Source organism: Homo sapiens, chromosome 17 (assembly GCF_000001405.40).
Source record: "Homo sapiens chromosome 17, GRCh38.p14 Primary Assembly".
Classification (NCBI taxonomy): domain Eukaryota; kingdom Metazoa; phylum Chordata; class Mammalia; order Primates; family Hominidae; genus Homo; species Homo sapiens.
This window is the reverse complement of record NC_000017.11, coordinates 53,629,728-53,648,547: the sequence shown is the minus strand read 5'-3', so window position 1 is coordinate 53,648,547 and position 18,820 is coordinate 53,629,728. Positions and strand designations below refer to the sequence as shown.

The window sequence follows — 18,820 nt, the reverse complement described above, 5'->3', positions numbered from 1 at the left end:
CTGCTAGAGCAGAAAGGAAAAATGGACCAAACTCAGTTGATGCCCAACCATGGAGGGAGCATTTAAACCAGCCCTAGACAGAGGAAAATCACTAATCCCAGTAGTCTAAACTTGAGATCCCACAAACCTCACCACCAAGGGCTACAGTGCTCTCTGTCTCCAAGTAAACATGAAAGGCAATGCAAGCCATAAGGACTGCAACTCTTAGGTCTGCCCTAGTGCTGACCTAGGCCCAGAGACAGTGGACTGGGGGGTGGTGGAGTGTGGGGTAACATACTAAGACACAAGCTAGGGTAGTCAATGGAGTGCTGGCATCACATCACCTCTCCCCTAACCCCAAGCTGCACAACTCATGGCTCCAAAAGACACCCCTTTCTTCTGTTTAAGGAGAGGGAACAGTGGGGAAGACTTTGTCTTGCATTTTGGATACCAGCTCAACTACAGCAAGATAGAGCACTTGTCAGAGTTTTGAGGCCCCATTCCAGGCCCTAGCTCCCAGACAATATTTCTAGACATACCTAGGGCCATAAGAGAACCCTCTGCCTTTAAGGAAAGGACTCAGTTCTGCCAGCATTCATAAACAGCTAACTGAAGAACCCTTGGGCCCTGAATAACCAGCAGCGATACCCAGGTGCTACATTAAGGGCCTTGGGTGAGCCTCTGAAACATGTTGGCTTCAAGGAAGACTCAGCACATTAGTAGCTGTGGTGTCTATGGGACAAAACTCCTGCTTCTTGGGAAAATCAGAGGGAAAAATAAAGGGGACTTTGTCTCACACCTTAGGTACCAGCACAGCCACAGAGTGTAGAGCACCAAGTGGGCTCTTGGAGTCCATGATTCTAGGACTTGACTCTTGGATACCATTTCTGGACCTGCTCTGGGCCAGAGGGCAGCCTATTGCCCTGAAGGGTGAGTTTTAGGTCACGCAGCATTCATTACAATCTGACTTAGAAGCCCTTGGGCCTTAAGGAAACATCGATGGTAGTGTGACAGTACACCTCATAGCCAGTGGAGGTAGCAGGAGTGATGCATATGGGATGAAGCTTATCTGCCTTTGGAAAGGGGACTGAAGAGTGGGGAGGACTACATCTTGTGGTTTGACAGCCAGCTAAATAAGACGCTAGGTAGACTTCTAAGGTTTTTGACTGTAGTCCCTGACTCTCAAATGGTACTTCTGGACCCATCTGAAGCCTGGGAGACCTTGCCACCCTGAAGGGAAAGACACAGATCTGACTGGCTTTACCATCAGGTGATTATAGAGTCTCAAGGCTTAGGGTGAACATAAGCAGTAGCCAGGGAGTGGTTGTAGGAGGCCTTGGGAGAGACCCAGTACTGTGCTGGCTTCAGATCTGACCCAGCAAAGTCATAGTGATGGTGTCCACAGGGGTGCTTGTGTCACTCCACTCCACTATTTGTGTATTTTCAAATAGCTGATCTTCTCTTTCCAAGACTATAAAGGTGGTACTTCTACAAGTTTGCAAGAACCGCGGTGTTACTGGGCTTGGGGTGCCCCCTAATGCAGAAACAGCTTAGATCATCCAAATTCTTTCAAATATCTGGAAGGCCTTCCCAAAAAGGATGGCTACAAGTAAGTGCAGATAGCAAAGACTACAAATAAATACATAACTCTTCAATGCCCAGACACTGAAGAACATTTACTAGCATCAACACCATCCAGGAAAACATAACTTAATCCAATGAACTAAATAAGACACCAGGGACCAATCCTGGAGAAACAGAGTTATGTGACCTTTCAGAGAGAGAATTCAAAATAGCTGTGTTGAAGAAAAGCAAAGAAATTCATGAGAACAACAACAACAAAAAAAAAGGAATTCAGAATTCTATCAGATAATTTTAACAAAGAGATTGAAATAAATGAAAAGAATCAGGCATAAATTCTAGAGCTGAAAAATACAACAGGCATACTGAAGAATGCATCAGAATTAGGCATCCTGAAGAATGCATCCTTTACTAGCATGGAACAAACAAAAGAAAGAATTAGTGCACTTGAAGACCAGCTATTTGAAAATACACAGTCAGAGGAGACAAAAGAAAAAAGAATAAAAAAATAAAGTACTCCTTCAGGATCTAGATAATAGCCTCAAAAGGGCAAATTTAAGAGTATTGACCTCATTAAAAAGGTAGAGAATGAGATGGTGGTAGAGAGTTTATGGAATGGAATAATAATAGAGAACTTATAGAACCTAGAGAAAGATATTAATATCCAAACACAAGAAGGTTATAGGACACCAACCAGATTTAACCCAAAGAAGGCTACCTCGAGGTATTAAATAATCAAGCTCCCAAAGGACAAGGATAAAGAAAGAATCCTAAAAGCAGCAAGAGAAAAGAAACAAATAACATACAATGGAGCTCCAGTACATCTGGCAGCAGACTTTTCAGTGGAAACCTTATAGGCCAGGAGTGTGTGGCACGGCATATTTAAAGTGCTGACGGAAAACATCTTTTACTCTAGAATACTTTATCTGGCTAAAATATACATCAAACATGAAGGACAAATAAAGATTTTTCCAGACAAACAAAAGCTGAGGGACTTCGTCAACACCAGACGTGTCCTACAGGAAATACTAAAGGGGGTACTTTAATCAGAGAGAAAAGGATGTTAATGAGCAATGAGAAGTCATCTGGAAGCACAAAACTCACTAGTAATAGTTAAGTGCACAGAAAAACATAGACTATGATAACACTGTTAACTGTGGTATGTAAACTATTCTTATCCTGAGTAGAAAGAATAAACAATGAACAAATAAAAAATAATAATGACAACAAATTTTCAAGAAATGGTCAGTACAATAATATATAAATAGAAACAATAAAAAGTTAAAAAGTGGGCAGATGAAGTTTAAGCATAGAATTTGTATTGATTTTCTTTTTGCTTGTTTGTTTATGTAAATAGTAAGTTGTTATCAGGCTAAAATAATGAATTATAATATAGTATTTGCAAGCCTCAAGGTAACCTCAAACCACAACACATACAATGGATACACAAAAAATAAAAAGCAAGCAACAAAATCATATTATCAGATTAAATCACCTTCACCAAAGGAAGACAAGAAGAAAGAAGAAAGACCATAGAACAATCAGAAAACAAATATCAAAATGGCAAGAGTAAATCTTTACTTATCAATAATAATACTGAATATAAATAGACTGAACTCTTCAATAAAAAGACATAGAGTGGCTGAATGGATGAAGAAACAAGACCCCATGGATCTGTTGCCCACAAAAAAATGCACTTCACCTATAAAGACACACATAGATGGAAAATAAAGGGATGGAAAAAGATATTCCATGCCAATGGAAAGGAAAAAGCAAGAGTAGCTATACTTATATCAGACTAAATAAATTTCAAAGCAAAAACTATAAGAGACTGAGCAGAGCACCATAAAATGATACAGGGATCAATTCAGCAAGAGAATATAACAATTTTAAAAATATATGCACCCAACACTGGAGAACCCAGATGTATAAAGCAAATATTATTAGAGCTAAAGGTAGAGGTCGGCCCCAACACCATGATAGCTGAAGACTTCAACATTCCATTTTCAGCATTGGACAGATCTTCCAGGCAGAAAATCAACAAAGAAACATTGGGCTTAATCTGCACAATGGACCAAATGTATCTAATATATATTTACATAACATTTCATTCAATGGCTAAATAATACACATTCTTTTCCTCAGCACATGGATCACTCTCAAGAATAGACCATATATATGTTAGGTCAAGAAACAAGTCTTAAAACATTTAAAAAAATTGACATAATATCAAGCATCTTCTCTGACCACAATGGAATATAACTAGAATTTAGTAACAAGAGGAATTTTAGAAACTATCCAAATACATGGAAATTAAACCATATGCTCCTGAATGACTGGTGCGTCAAAACAGAAATTAAAAAGGAAATTGAAAAATTTCTCGAAACAAATGATAATAGAAACACAGCATGTCAAATCATATGGAATACAGTGAAAGCAGTACTCACAGGGAAATTTATAATTATAAATGCCTGCATCAAAAAAGAGGAAAAACTCCAAATAAGCAACCTAATAATGGACCTTAGAGAAAAACAAGAGCAAACCAAACTTAAAATGAGAAACAAAAAGTAATGAAAATCAGAGCAAAAATAAATTAAATCAAAATGAAAAAATAAAAAAGATCAATAAAACAGTTATTTTTTTGAAAATTTAAACAAAATTGACAAACTTTTAGCCAGACTAAGACACAAATGAAGATCCAAATAAATTAGATGAGAAATAAAAAACAAGACACTACAACTGATACTGTAAAAGTTCAAAGGATCATTAGTGGATACTATGAATAACTATAGGCCAACAAATTGGAAATTCTAGAAAAAATGGACAAATTTCTTGACACATACAACTCAACAAAATTGAACCAAGAAGAAATCTAAAACCTGAAGAGACCAATAACAAGTAGCAAGGTTGAAGCCATAATAAAAAGCCTCTCACTAAAGAAAAGCCCAGAACCCAATGGCTTCTCTGCTGAATTCTACCAAACCTTTAAATAAGACATATTACCAAGGCTCCTAAAAATATTTTGAAAAATAGAGGAGTAGGGAATACTTCTAAACTAATTCTACAAAGCCAGTATTACTCTGATACCAACACTAGACAAAGACACATCAAAAGAAGAATACTACAGGCCAATATCTCTGATGAATACTGACACAAAAAATTATCAGCGAAAGACTAGCAAACTGAATTCAAGAATAAATTAGAAAAATCATTCATCATGACCAAGTGGGATTCAGCCCTAGGATACAAGGATGATCTGACATTTGCAAATCAATCAGTGTAAGACGTCATATCAACAGAGTGAAGGACAAACACAATATGATCATTTCAGTCGATGCTGAAAAAGCATTTGATAAACCTCAGCATCCCTTCATTATAAAAACTCTCAAAAAACTGGGTATAGAAGGAACGTACCTCAACACAACAAAAGCCATTTACGAGAGACCCAAATCTACTATCATGCTGAATGGGGAAAAACTAAAAGCCTTTTATCTAAGATTTGGAATATGACAAGGATTCTCACTTTCACCACTGTTATTCAACATAGCACTAGAAGTCCTACTAGAGCAATCAGACAAGAGAAAGAAATAAAGGAAATTCAAATGGGAATGAAAGAAGTCAAATTATCCTTGTTTGCAGATGATATAATCTGATATTTAGAAAAACCTAGACTCCACAAGAAAACTATTAGAACTGATAAACAAATTCAGTAAAGTTGCAGAATACAAAATCAACTTACAAAAATCAGTAGCATTTCTATATGCCAACAGTGATCAATCTGAAAAAGAAAAAGAAAGTAATTCTGTTTACAATAGCCACAAATAAAATTAAATACCTAGGAATTAACCTAACCAAAGAAGTGAAAGATCTCTACCATGAAAACTATAAAACACTAATGAAAAAAATTGAAGACGACATTAAGAAATAAAATAAATATTTTATGTTCAAAGATTGGAAGAATCAACATTGTTAATATGTCTCTACTGGGCTGGGTGCGGTGGCTCATGCCTGTAATCTCAGTACTTTGGGAGGCCGAGGCAGGTGGATCACCTGAGGTCAGCAGTTCAAGACCAGCCTGGCCAACATGAGAAAACCCCATCTCTACAAAAATACAAAAATTAGCCAAGCATGATGTCAGGTGCCTGTAACCCCAGCTACTCAGGAGGCTGAGGTGGGAGAATCACTTGAACACGGGAGGCAGAAGTTGTAGTGAGTCAAGATCGTGCCATTGCACTCCAACCTGGGTGACAGAGTGAGACTCCATCTCAAAAAAAAAAAAAAATGTCCATACTACCCAAAGCAATCGATATATTTAATGTAATTCCTATCAAAATACCAATAACAGTCTTTACAGAAATAGAAAAAAAATTCTAATATTTATACAAAACCACAAAAGGCTAGAATAGCTGAACCTATCCTAGGCAAAAAGAACAAAACTGGAAGAATCATAAAACCTGACTTTAAATTATACTACAGCGATATAGTAACAAAAACAGCATGGCACTGGCCTAAAAACAGACACAAAGACCAATGAAACAAAATAGAGAACCCAGATCTACACACCTACGGTGAACTCATTTTTTAAAAAGGTGCCAAGAACATACACTAGGGAAAAGATAGTCTCTCTAATAAACGGTGCTGGGGAAACTGGATATTCATATGCAAAAGAATAAAACTAGACCCCCATCTCTGACCATACACAAAAATCAACTCAAAATGCATTAAAGACTTAGTTACCTAAGACCTCAAACTATGAAACTCCTACAATAAAACATTGATGAAAATCTCCAGGACATTGATCTGGGAAAGAATTTTTTGAGCAATACCTCACAAGCACAGCAACCAAACCAAAAGTGGACAAATGGGATCACATCAAGTTAAAAGGCTTCTATGCAGCAAAGGAAACAATCAACAAAGTGAAGAGACAACCCACAGAATGGAGAAAAGTATTCCCAAACTGCCTGTCTGGAAAAAGATTAATAACCATAATATATAAGGAGCTCAGACAACCCTATAGGAAACAAATCTAACAAACCAATTTAAAAATGGACAAATGATCTGAATAGACATTTCTCAAAAGAGGACATACAAGTGGCAAATAGACATTTCTCAAAAGAAGACATACAAGTTAAAAGGTGCTCAACATCATTGCTCGCCAGAGTAATGCAAGTCAAAACTAAAATAAGATGTCATCTCACCACAGTCAAAATGGCTTATATCCAAAAGACAGGTAATAACAATAATGGCAAGGATGTGGAGAAAAGGGAACCCTTGTACAATGTTGGTAGGAATGTAAATTAGTACAACCACTGTGGATAACGGTTTGAAGGTTCCTTAAGAAACTAAAAACTGGGCCAGGCGCAGTGGCTCACAACTGTAATCCCAGCACTTTGGGAAGCAGAGGCAGGCAGATCACCTGAGGTCAGGAGTTTAAGACCAGCCTGGCCAACATGGTGAAACCCCTTCTCCACGAAAGTACAAAAATTAGCCGAGCATGATGGCAGGTGCCTGTAATCCCAGCTACTCAGGAGGCTGAGGCAGAAGAATCACTTGAATCTGGGAGGCAGAGGTTGCAGTGAGCTGAGATCATGCCATTGCACTCCAGCCTGGGCAAGAGAGTAAGACTCCATCCCAGAAAAAAAAAAAAAAGAAAGAAAGAAAGAAAGAAAAGAAAAAGAAACTAAAAACTGAATTACCATGTGATCCGACAATCCCACTGCTAGGTATACAACAAAAAGAAAGGAAATCAATAGATCAAAGAAATAACATCACTCCTATGTTTATTGCAGCACTGTTTACAACAGCTAAGATGTGGAAATAAACTAAGTATCCATAAACAGATGAAAGGATAAGGAAAATGTGGTACATACACAAAATGGATTGCTATTTAGCCATAAAAAAAATGAGATCCAGTTATTTGCAGTACCATGGACAGAACTGGAGGTTATTACGTTAAATGAAATAAACCAGGCACAGAAAGGCAAATATCACATGTTCTCACTTATGTCACAATGTGAGATCTGAAAATCAAAACAATTGAACTCATGTACACAGAAAGTAGGATGGTTACCAGAGGCTGGGAAAGGTATTTAGGGACTGGTGAGGAGGTGAGAATTGTTAATGGGTACAAAAAAAAATAGTTAGAAAGGATGAATAAGACCTACTATTTGATAGCAAAACAGGGTGACTAATAGTCAATAATAATTGTACATTTTGAAATAACTCAAAGGATAAATGCTGGAGGGAATAGGTACACCATTTTCTTATTTTACATTGCGTGCCTGTATTAAAACATCTCATGTACTCTATCAATATGTACATCTACTATGTACCCACAAAAATTAAAAATAATTAATAAATTGTTTCAAAATTTTTATGTCCCTAAAAATGTCATTAGCTTTACCTATGAGAAATTAACTTGTCTACTTGTGAATCATTACAATTTGCAAGCCTGGAAGTTAAAAATCATGTTAACCTATGGATCCACTGGCCTTTTTAGGGTAGAATGTTTCTCATCCAGGTAAAAAAAAAAAATAAGTCAGGCAACTCAATTTTAATAACTGATGTGCTGAACTACGTGAGAGTAGGTACAAATAAGCAGATGAGGATCAAATAGAGTATAAGCTACCCTTTCATAAATAGCAGAATAAAGTTCTTCTGGTATGCTATTTTGAAATATGCACTTCAGGACTGCTTGGGTTAAGGAAGCGATCCAAGAATTTGCAACCCTTTTCAAACTGTAATGGAAACTAAAACAAAGCTCCAGATCTGCACTGCTCAGTAGATACCCACTACTAACATGTAACTCCTGGGCCTGTGAAATGTGGTTAGTCTGAATTGAGATATGCTCTAAGTATAAAATGAACATCAGTTTTTAAAAATTTAATACAAAAAAGAAAAACTCTTTTGACCATTTTTATATTGATTACATGCTGAAATGATAATGTTTGAAAATACCATGCTGAACAAAATATATTATTAATTTAACTTTACCTGCTTTTTTTACTTTTTTAACGTGGCTACTAGAATTTTTAAAATTACATATGCAGCTCATATTATGTTTTTGTTGGAAAGCTCTGCTCTAGACCTTGGAGGAGGCCTCTGGATCTGTAGGCCAAAGTCTGGGCACTTTCATTAGCCCATTGCCTAAGAGCCATAGCCTGTTTTTCAGCTTGATAATCCAAGAGAAAGTTAGAGATGGTATCATGTGAAGAAGTGAAACAGATAATGCGCTTCTCTGAAGAAGGAACATTTAACATAGCAAGGAGAAGGACAGAAACTACATTTCAGGCCTCCCTTGCATCTTGGCAAAAAAGCCTCCATGTCTATTTACCACATGAAAGGGAAGAAAATGCTTGAAATCCTACCTCTCCTTAAGCCAGGAAACAAAACACAGGAGAGGTCAAAAGAAAACAAGACATTTCGTAAAGCCACATTTTCTAATTTTTCAATGTCATTCCTCCAGAGGAGTGGAGCAAAAATCCCCATTCCATACTAAAAATGTGATACAGATGCAAGTAAGTGCATCTTCTTTCTACCCTCCACTGTTTTTTTCATTTTTGTTTCTTAACCCATCAAATTTGCTGATCAACAGCTAAGCCAAGATCAACCAGGAATTGGCTAACTTCACCAAGGACGGAGGTAATACTGGACTCAAGGAATCTTATTCCTGCCTTCATTCAAGTGTTCCCCCAACAGCATACGTAGCTGTTTGGTTTATCTTCCTGGGACCAGTGGTGACGCAGCTAAAGTCACTAATATGCATTACAATAGACCACTTCATTTCAAATAATATGAAATCTCTCCTAATATTAATTTCGCAAAGTAAAAATTCACAATAAAATCCCATTATTTTTATAAATTTGAATCTGTAAAAATAAAGTTTAAAATTCTGATGATCCCAGGGATATAAATGGCCCACAGATATATGAAAAAAAGTTCAATAAGTTTAATCATCAGAGAAATAAAAAACCACAATAAAATATCACCTCACATCTGTTAGAATGGCTATTATCAAAAAGACAAAAAATAACGAGTGTTGAAGAGGATATGGAGAAAATGGAACCCTTGCACACTGTTGGTGGGAGGGTAAATTAGTACAACCATTGTGAAAAACAGTGTGGAGATTCCTCAGAATATTAAAAATTGAACTACTATATGATAAAGAAATCCCACTATTGGGTATATATCCAAAAGAACTGAAATCACCATGTCAAAGAGATATCTGTACACTCGTGTTCATTGCAGCATCATTCACAATAGCTAAGATATGGAATCGATCTAAGTATCCATCAATGATGAATGGATAAAGCAAATGTGTTATGTATACACAATGGAATACTATTCAGCCCTAAAACAGAAGGAAATTCTGTCATTTGTAACAACATGGATGAACCAGGAGAACATTATGTTAAGTGAAGTAAGCCAGGCACAGAAAGACAAATAATGCGTGATCTAAAAAGTTGAGCACAGAGAAGTAGAGAGTTAAATGGTGGTTGCTTATGACTGAGCGGTGAGAGTAAGGCATTGAGGATATGTTGGTCAAAGGACACAAAATTTCAGTTTAATAGTAGAAATAATTTCCAAAGATCTATTGAACACTACAGCAACTATAGTTAATAACAATGTTTTGTATTCTTTAAAATTGCTAAGAGAGTAGATTTTTGGTGTTCTCACCACACAAAAAGAAAGTATGTAAAGAAAAGTGTGTTAATTACCTCAATTTAGCTATTTAAAAATGCATATGTTTAAAACTTACATGTAGAACACAATAAATATAGACAATGTTTATTTGTTAATTAATAGATAAAAATAATGTTTAAAAATTTAATTCCCAGGTGTTGTCCTGTTTACTTTTATTCAGGCGGCTCTCATACCTAATAAGATTTTAAATATAACATCTGCAGCAAATGCCACCTGGCCAGGAATGAATTGGAATATTTTCCTCCATTATTCACCCCCTCCCTGTACTAGAATTATGCCTTGCTGTCCACAATCATGTGACTTGCACACATATAATTTAGGTGGAGTATACATACCAGCTTCATTGACTTTGGACTTGGCTATAAGACATGCTTTGCTCAATGGGATATAAGATCATATAATGCTTTCCATGACCAAGTGGAAGCTTAAGGATGCTTATTTCGTTAGGTTAGGCTCTTTCCCATTCTTGACCACTGGCATGAGAATAACAGTCACAGATTGGAGCTACTTAGCCTGGCTTCAAAATGAAAATACAGCTTTTGAAAAAAGAGAAAGAAACATTGGTTGTTGTCAACCACTGATTACTGATGTTATTGCTTACCACAGCAATTATGCCTGAAGTAACTACTGTAAGCTGGTGTTTTGCTTATGATTTATAATTATGGATGCAATGATAATCAGGCAAAATTATGATTCTGAAGCGCAAGGCATAGTGCAATGCAAATTCGCATACTTTTTCCAGCCTAAGGCTGTTGTAGAGACTTGGTGGCATGTGAGGTTAAAAAAAAAAAGATAAATTATGAGAAAACTCAGAGAGTATCTTTGTTTCATCTTTTCAGTTTGTCCATCACTTGTGTCAGTTGTTCAGAGTTCCTCCATAAGAAGATCAGATGAGCAGAACAGAGAGAACAAACAGTAATAATCCTGCTCTGGTCCCCTTTCTTCCTGGAGACTGGAAAAGCAGTAACTTTTTCCTTTTAGAAAATATGTGGGATATGATCATAAACATAATCTGATCAATTACCAAAATAAGAGAATTTGACTGCATTTTGAAAATTGGAACCAATTACATGTCTTAATTTGGTGATTACCCTTTATTGAAATAAAATGCACCCTCCCTGTTATATTTGATTGCCAAGTTTTTTTTCATGTTTTCTATATTTTATTATATGAACATATTTTCTACCACAATATTTAAAGAAAATATAAAGTTACAGGTAACATTGGTAGTATATGATATTTATATAGAACTTTATAATTTCCAATCTACTTTTTACACACATGATGTGTTTCACACAATATACTTGAAAAGCTATGCATGCCAATTTTTATATGTCCAGTTTTAAATGTGAGGAAAGTAATTGAGGGATTCGCCTGGCCAGGATTATGTAACTAGAAAGTTTCTGAGTTATACCTGGATTTCATGTCTTTTTTTCCTGCAGTGTTCTCCATATTATGCTCTTTATTCTGAGACTTCGTTGATGTCGTACACATACCTTATTTCCTTCTCAACCATCCTGCAATACACAAACACAGAATATGATTTGGTTGTACTTTGTTCTGCATTTCCCTTTATCTTTGTGATCATCACAATACATTATGTTGGATTGTGTTTTTTTTTTCTTATTTCTCAAGTAGACTCTAAAATTCTTGAGTATAAGAATCATACTTTATTTACTTATGTAATTTTTGGATCATTTGCCCCATCCCAAAATCCCACACAGACTATGTTTTAAGACAGTCACTATAAAAGGGACATATTTTAATAATCTGAAAGCAACTTTTTCCATGAAAGGTAAGGAAGTCATTAAGATTAATAACAATACATTATAGCTATTAAATTAAAAAATTAATAACTTATTTTAGTAAAATAGATGCTTCTCAAGGGAAATATAACTAGCCTTCGATATACTGTAGCCCTAATTTCCCACACACAGACTACTCTAGGTATATTAACTTGTCTATCATTCTCAACATGAATTATGTGCTCTTACTATCCCTTTCTATAGAGAATCCCAAATATACTGATTGGTTACACAGCTTGTCAATGGAGAAGTAAGGATACAAATGTAGGCTCTTAACAGTGATTCCTAGCCTTGGTTACAGGTTAAAATCACCTGGGGGGAGATTTTAAATATAACAATCCCATAGATTTTTTTTTTAATTAGTCTGGCATGAAGCTGAACATCAGCTTTGAAAAACAAAAACAAACAAACAAAATCAAAACAAAAAACAAAATGCTTCTGGAATCTACCATATAGCTAGGGTTTATAATCTGAGCTTTTAAAAATTATGGTGTACCAGTACCTAATAAGTCTTAAATTTACAGATTATTACAGGAGATTCATTGGACTGTGGCACATGCTGATTTTCATTTAGGAGTTGTCTGAACCAGTGTATTAAGTAAAGGGCAAGGTATTGCCTTAAAGGATAGTTAGCCAGCTGCAGAAGGAAATCTAGCCCTTGTTAAATTTGACTGCCACACAAAAGCTCATAATAAAGATATTCTACCTAGCATCGAATCTTCCAGTATTAGCTGCTTCTTTAGGTAATTAGTATTTTACTCAGTTAGGTCCCTGGCTTGTTCTCCAGCTGAGGCTACCACAGGCTTTCAAATGTAACAAGAACTATGGGTTGGGAGGTCATGAGGCAATTGCTGGAGCTAAGTACAATCCTATGTGTGATGACAAGGAAGTGCATCAGATGCTGTGTGGTCATGCTCAGTCTATGCCTGGATTAGAAAATACTTTATTGAAATGGAGCTACAGCAAGTTCCAAATGAGGGCAGTTCTGACAATTAGGGAAGGTGGTGTCATGTCCCAGTTAATCATAGCCACACAAATAGAACAATGATAAAAGCTGAGAGGAAAAATCTTTAGCCTTGATAGTGAAATACTTTACCCTACAATATTTCAGCTTACTTTGTATTTGTTTCATGTAAGTGAACCTTCTGAACTGGCAAAATTAAGAAAACTTCTAGTTTTCTTTTGTACAGAATTTAATACTTTGAACAGGTAACTATATAGTATTTGAGTCAACCCATCTTAGTTCCCAAATAAACTAACTTTTACAAATAAACAATCAGACCAGGAATAACAGGGATTTGTTAAGTTCAGTAAAGAAAGGGCAGGAAAGTATTCAGAGCAAATGGCCCCATTTGAAAGAGACATATAATAAGAAAGAGGAAAGTTAAAAATATAAAAAAATAATCCATCATAAATGCAATAAGAGTTAGATAAACCAATCTGTAAACCATATTAAATAAGAAAGATTATTACTGAATAAAAAATGTGATGAAGAGAATAAGTAACACATTGGTTGCTGCAAAATACAATAATAAACACTGCATTAGAAGAGCAGATCAAGATATTTTTATAGGTTTAAATGAAAATGAAGATGAAGGAAGAGATAAGAAACTGAAAGAGCCAGGTGATGCAGTATATGTATAAAATGAATTGCACAATTAGAGAAGAGAGCAGATAAAAACAGAAGCAATAAAGAATAATAATTGATGACCACAAGATTTATGCAGAATGATAAAAGAAAGATGCTAAGACATTCCAATGATTTACATTTTTGTCATTCGTACACATGTTTTATGTCTGTGCAGTATTGGGAGCTAACGTAAGTTCTATTGGATATTGTCTTGCTATTTTCTATTCTATTAGGTTCTTCTTAAATACATGGAACTTAATTTTACCTGAGAGGAGTGGGGGGACAAAAGATTCAATGAATAGTAGCCACTATGAATTAAAAGAGACTAAGTACATTTAGAGAAAAGTTAAGTGAGATTTTTACTTTAAGGCAAAAATAAAAATTCTAAATTTTACAGGCAGAAACAAAGGAACAAACAAACAAAACTGTTTAAGACAGAGGGAAAATGACATCAGGCTCTCCATACATAACTCTGAAAACTGGACAATATGGGAACAATATCTAAAAAGCATTAAGAGGAACAGAGTTCATTAAAAAATCAATATGCCAAGTACATCTTGTAAAAGTGATGATGATTGTAGAATATTTTGGAATATTTCCAAATCTTCTCCATAAGAAAGACAGATTATCCCTAATAATAAAACCTAAAACTTATAGACCGCATCTTAAAACAGACCATTCAAGTGACAATTTATCCCCCAAACTAGAAACTGTAAGTGAATTGGAAGAAAGCACTGACAGCTTGTGCTCATGTGATCTCAGGGAATCAATGGGGCATTTGAGGAATGCAAGAAGATGAGAATCCCCCAGAGAGCAAACAGAAGTTCATGGGAAGAACAGTGAGACAATTCAGAAGAGCATGTAAACCTAGGTAGCAGTTTTTACATACTTTAATGCATGGGTCAATGCAACTGGTCCAGAATAAAATCTGAAGGATCTGGAGGAGTCTGGGCCCTTTGGGGTTTCAAAACTAAGTAGAAAGATATCCTATTCATTGGGAAGAAGTTGTTGGGAGCAGTATAAATTAGCAAGATGCAGACATATTAGAAAACAAATATAGGAAACTCATAAAACAAAGAATATACAGATAAGAGAAAGAGAATAATACCAGATTACAGAATTTCAAGGTAATATTTCTAAACTAATCACAGAACCAGAAAGAGTTAGTGCTAGACTAGAAAAGCAAGAAAATCTATTTTAACTTTCTAAAATTTCAGAAAGTGAATTTCATGTATAAATAAGATACTTAAAAGGATTAAGACTGATTTTCACACGAAGTTACATCTATGCTTAGCTTCTCAGGTTACTTTCTGTTAGAGAAAAAAATGGGTTTGGGGTTTGCTTCTTATTAAAAGAAAAATTCCACCGAGAACTTTCACCCTTTCTAGCTGCCTAAAATAATTTCTTAATAATTCCTGTATTATTTCCCCCCTCAGGAGACATAAACCTAACTGCTGTTAGGCGGGTGTTGGATGATGATTCTTTCTGGCTACTTCCTGTTGAAAAGAGGCATCGTGTGGTGGGGACAACAGTTGGGCCTCCTCTTGAAGTTGATAAAGCATTCTGGGAAGAATTGCGTGTACATGCATGGTTTGCAGTGCCATTTGTAGTTTGATTGCGTCTACGTGAAAAGAGATAAATTTTACAAGGAGGTTTGAAAGATAGGGTTAGAATATGAGCATTAAGATTACCACTGGTAGGCCGGGCGCGGTGGCTCATGCCTGTAATGCCAGCACTTTGCGAGGCAGAGACGGGCGGATCACGAGGTCAAGAGATCGAGACCATCCTGGCTAACACGGTGAAACCCTGTCTCTACTAAAAATACAAAAAATTAGCTGGGCGTGGTGGCGGGCGCCTGTGGTCCCAGCTACTCGGGTGGCTGAGGCAGGAGAATGGCGTGAACCCGGGAGGCGGAGGTTGCAGTGAGCAGAGATCGCGCCACTGCACTGCAGCCTGGGCTACAGAGCGAGACTCTCTCTCAAAAAAAAAAAAAAAAAAAAAAAAAAAAAAAAAAAAGATTACCACTGTTAGTGGGGGTCCTATAGACCATAACTATGACAGTAGAGTTTGATACCTGTTAGTTATCCCAGCGGATTGTAATACCAGTTTGCCTCCCCTAGATATCGCTGTACATTGCCAGAAAGGTTAATATAAACAACATTTTCCTTGAGAAAAACATACATTTCCCCCTTAATTTTAGGTTTAGGCGATTTTTATAACTTGCAATATGATTGGGAGAAATATGTCATTGGGTGGCTAATAGAACTTTAGTGTTAATCTTGCCAATTCCTTTCCTTTAATTATTAAATTATTTCATTATTTTTCACTGACCTTCGTACAACATACGCAAATTTTCTAACTTGTTCTAAATATCCTTCCTTTAAACAACCAGTCATTTCCTTCTAGGACAAAAATTTGCCATACAAGATCCTTCCTTATATAAAATCACTTTCTTTATAACCTTCTTTCCATAGCTTAGAGTGAGCCATATTACCAATCTTTAATAAAAAGTCCTATCAAACTTAATGATAGTAAAACTTTCATGCTTACTTCTTATCTGTAACTATTACCAATGCTATAAGCAAAACAACCTTGACTAAATTTTTCCTGTAGTTATTAATTCTGTTATAAGGATGATGATTAGGCAAAATATTACAGCAATTAGAATTTTATAGCCAGAAATCCACATTGTAGGTGTCACAGTGTATAGTTCTATTGTAAATAGTAGTATGACTATAACAATTCCCACAAGAGATGTAGTAAATAATTTCCGTTAAAAACTTTACTTGCCAAGATATAACATTTCCCTTTGGGGGATCTACAAAAGTACAAATGCAATTCTATGAATAATTAAAATCTCCCTGCAAATATGCATTAAAAAGAAGTTATAATATTTGGCAGTGAATTCCTGAGGAAAACGTAGAAATGATAAAAAGTATCTGGTGAGGTAGGAGTGGGACTAAGATGAGTAGCCCTCACTCAGTTACTTATCTTTTATGATTTTCAGCTTAAAATCTATTTCTTCGTGTTGATATTCAGGACATTCCTCTGGGCTGCCAGGGGTTGCTCCCTCAGCTGTTTGGGCTTTGACTTGAGTGTGATGTATTCAGGAGTTGATACCTGTAACTTTTACTGCTGAGGGTGTTGAAAGAAGAACAGTGTGGGGCCCTTCCCACCGGTGTAAGGAAGGAAAGAGAGAGATGAGCTTACACTAAAACCAAATGTCCTGAGTTAAATAGAGGTGATCCTATTTCCTGGGGTTGGATTTCTGCTAGTTGCGTCAATTCCTGTTGGAAGAGAGCTAGTGAGGTTACATGCTTAACCGACTAGGGGTTTTCTGCCTGAAAACAATCTCTGAACATTTTGCTAAGTTTTATCCTTTCCAAAGTGAAAAGGTTGGTGAAGGATTTTAAGGACTTTCCGTTGCCTAGGGGCTGACAAATGGAGTTTGCCATCCTGACTGAAGCCATCGTGAGGCTGGAAAGAACGCCCTCAAGAAGTGGCCTATTCTATTTCTGCAGGGGAATACTGAGATTAAATTTCTCTTATGGAGCTTTCCTAGATTAGAAGGGGCTTGAAGTGTGTTAATGCCTTGAGGCTTCCTTGCCTTTGACTTAGCTGCCTGATTAGCTAACCTATTTCCTTTGGTTACTTTGTTTCCTTTTGATGTTCCTTACAATGAATCCCTGGTATTTCTCATGGAAGAAAAACTGAAGATAATAACCTGTTAATTCCCTGATGATATTTTATAGGCGATTCATTAGTGATAAGAAAATGTCTTTCCTTCTAAATGGCAGCATGAGCATGGAAAGCTAAGAAAGCATACTTCCAGTTAGTATAAGTGTTAGCTACCTTTCCCTTGCTTAATTTCGGTGCTCTTGTAAGAGCTATTAGTTCAGCTAATTGAGCACTTGTGTGTGGGGAGAGATGTTATTTAGAGTAACTACTGTTTATCCTACCTTATGTATTTCTTGCTTTACTGGCTGTTTGTTAGCTAAGAGCTCCCCCTAGAAGGCAGTAATCTTGCCATATTATGTGGGGTGTAAAGAGTTAAAGTTAATTTGGAGGCTTTTCTGACCAGTGAATCTATTGTGGAAGTGGTTTGGAAACAATAGGTCCTCCTAACTGCAACTAAGAGGTTTAGAAAAATATTGGATTAGAGTTTTTCCTGAGATACCCCTTACAAGGTTGTGCTGTGGGAAAAGGGGAGCCCTGGATTAGACAAGAGAAAAGAGGGAGACTGGCTCTAGTGTTTAGAAGGTAGTTTACTTTCCTTCCTTTAATTTCCATAATCACCCAGGGCTCTTGCGCTATAATGGCAGTTTGCTACTCTGGAGCCAGTGTTTGAGCCCCAGGACCCATCAGACCCTCTGTGAGACTGGTTCTAAACACAGTGAACTTTGTCTCTGGGGGCAGTTTGATTTCCGGTGGCCTCCACCATAGGCTGGACAGGGTTGAGGTGGCTTCCTCTTGCTGTTTGGGCATTCCTTCTTAAAATGCCCTGGCTTGTCACACGGATAGCAACTAGCGGATGCACCTAGTGGATCCTGGAATTTGCAAGCCTGCAAAGCAGCTGCTATAGCCTTTGTTCTTCTCCTGAGCATTCCCTCTTTTGGGCCTCCTCCTGGTCCCTATTATAAAAGATTGAAGTGGCCACCCTCAGGAGGCTCTCTAAGGTACTATCTGGTCCTATAGCTTGCTTCTATAGTTTCCTTCTAATATCAGAAGCTGCCTGTGTAATAAACTTGTCTTTTAGAATAAGCAGCCCCTCAACTGAGTCAGGGGTTAAGGAGGTGTACTCTATCAGTGCCTCCCTCAGCCTTTCCACAAAGGCTACAGGATTCTTCTCTGGCTTTTGGTTTATCATAGACAAACCAAATTTACAATTAGACCAACTCAATTTAGAATTGAGAGGTCTGGCCTTAGTTCTTTGTAGCCCCTCTAAAACGCATATTAAAACGTGCTTTCTTTTCCATTCATCTGCAGAGCTACTGGGGTCCCAATTAGGGTTGTCAAGAGCAACTGCTTCTCTTTCAATTGGGAATGGTGTTTCTGCAATTCCCCGTCACATTTCCTTGCTTTTGGTGTATTATAGAACATATGTTGCTCATCTCCAGAGTTG

At 36.7% G+C, this 18,820-nt stretch overlaps 1 annotated feature.

Moving 5' to 3' along the window:
* Positions 17,654 to 18,154: an enhancer, noted in NCBI's record as "H3K27ac hESC enhancer chr17:51707755-51708255 (GRCh37/hg19 assembly coordinates)". NCBI's record gives its function as "activates a minimal SCP1, AML or CMV promoter by ChIP-STARR-seq in primed H9 embryonic stem cells {active_cell/tissue: H9 hESC(primed)}" and the evidence as "EXISTENCE:reporter gene assay evidence [ECO:0000049][PMID:30033119]".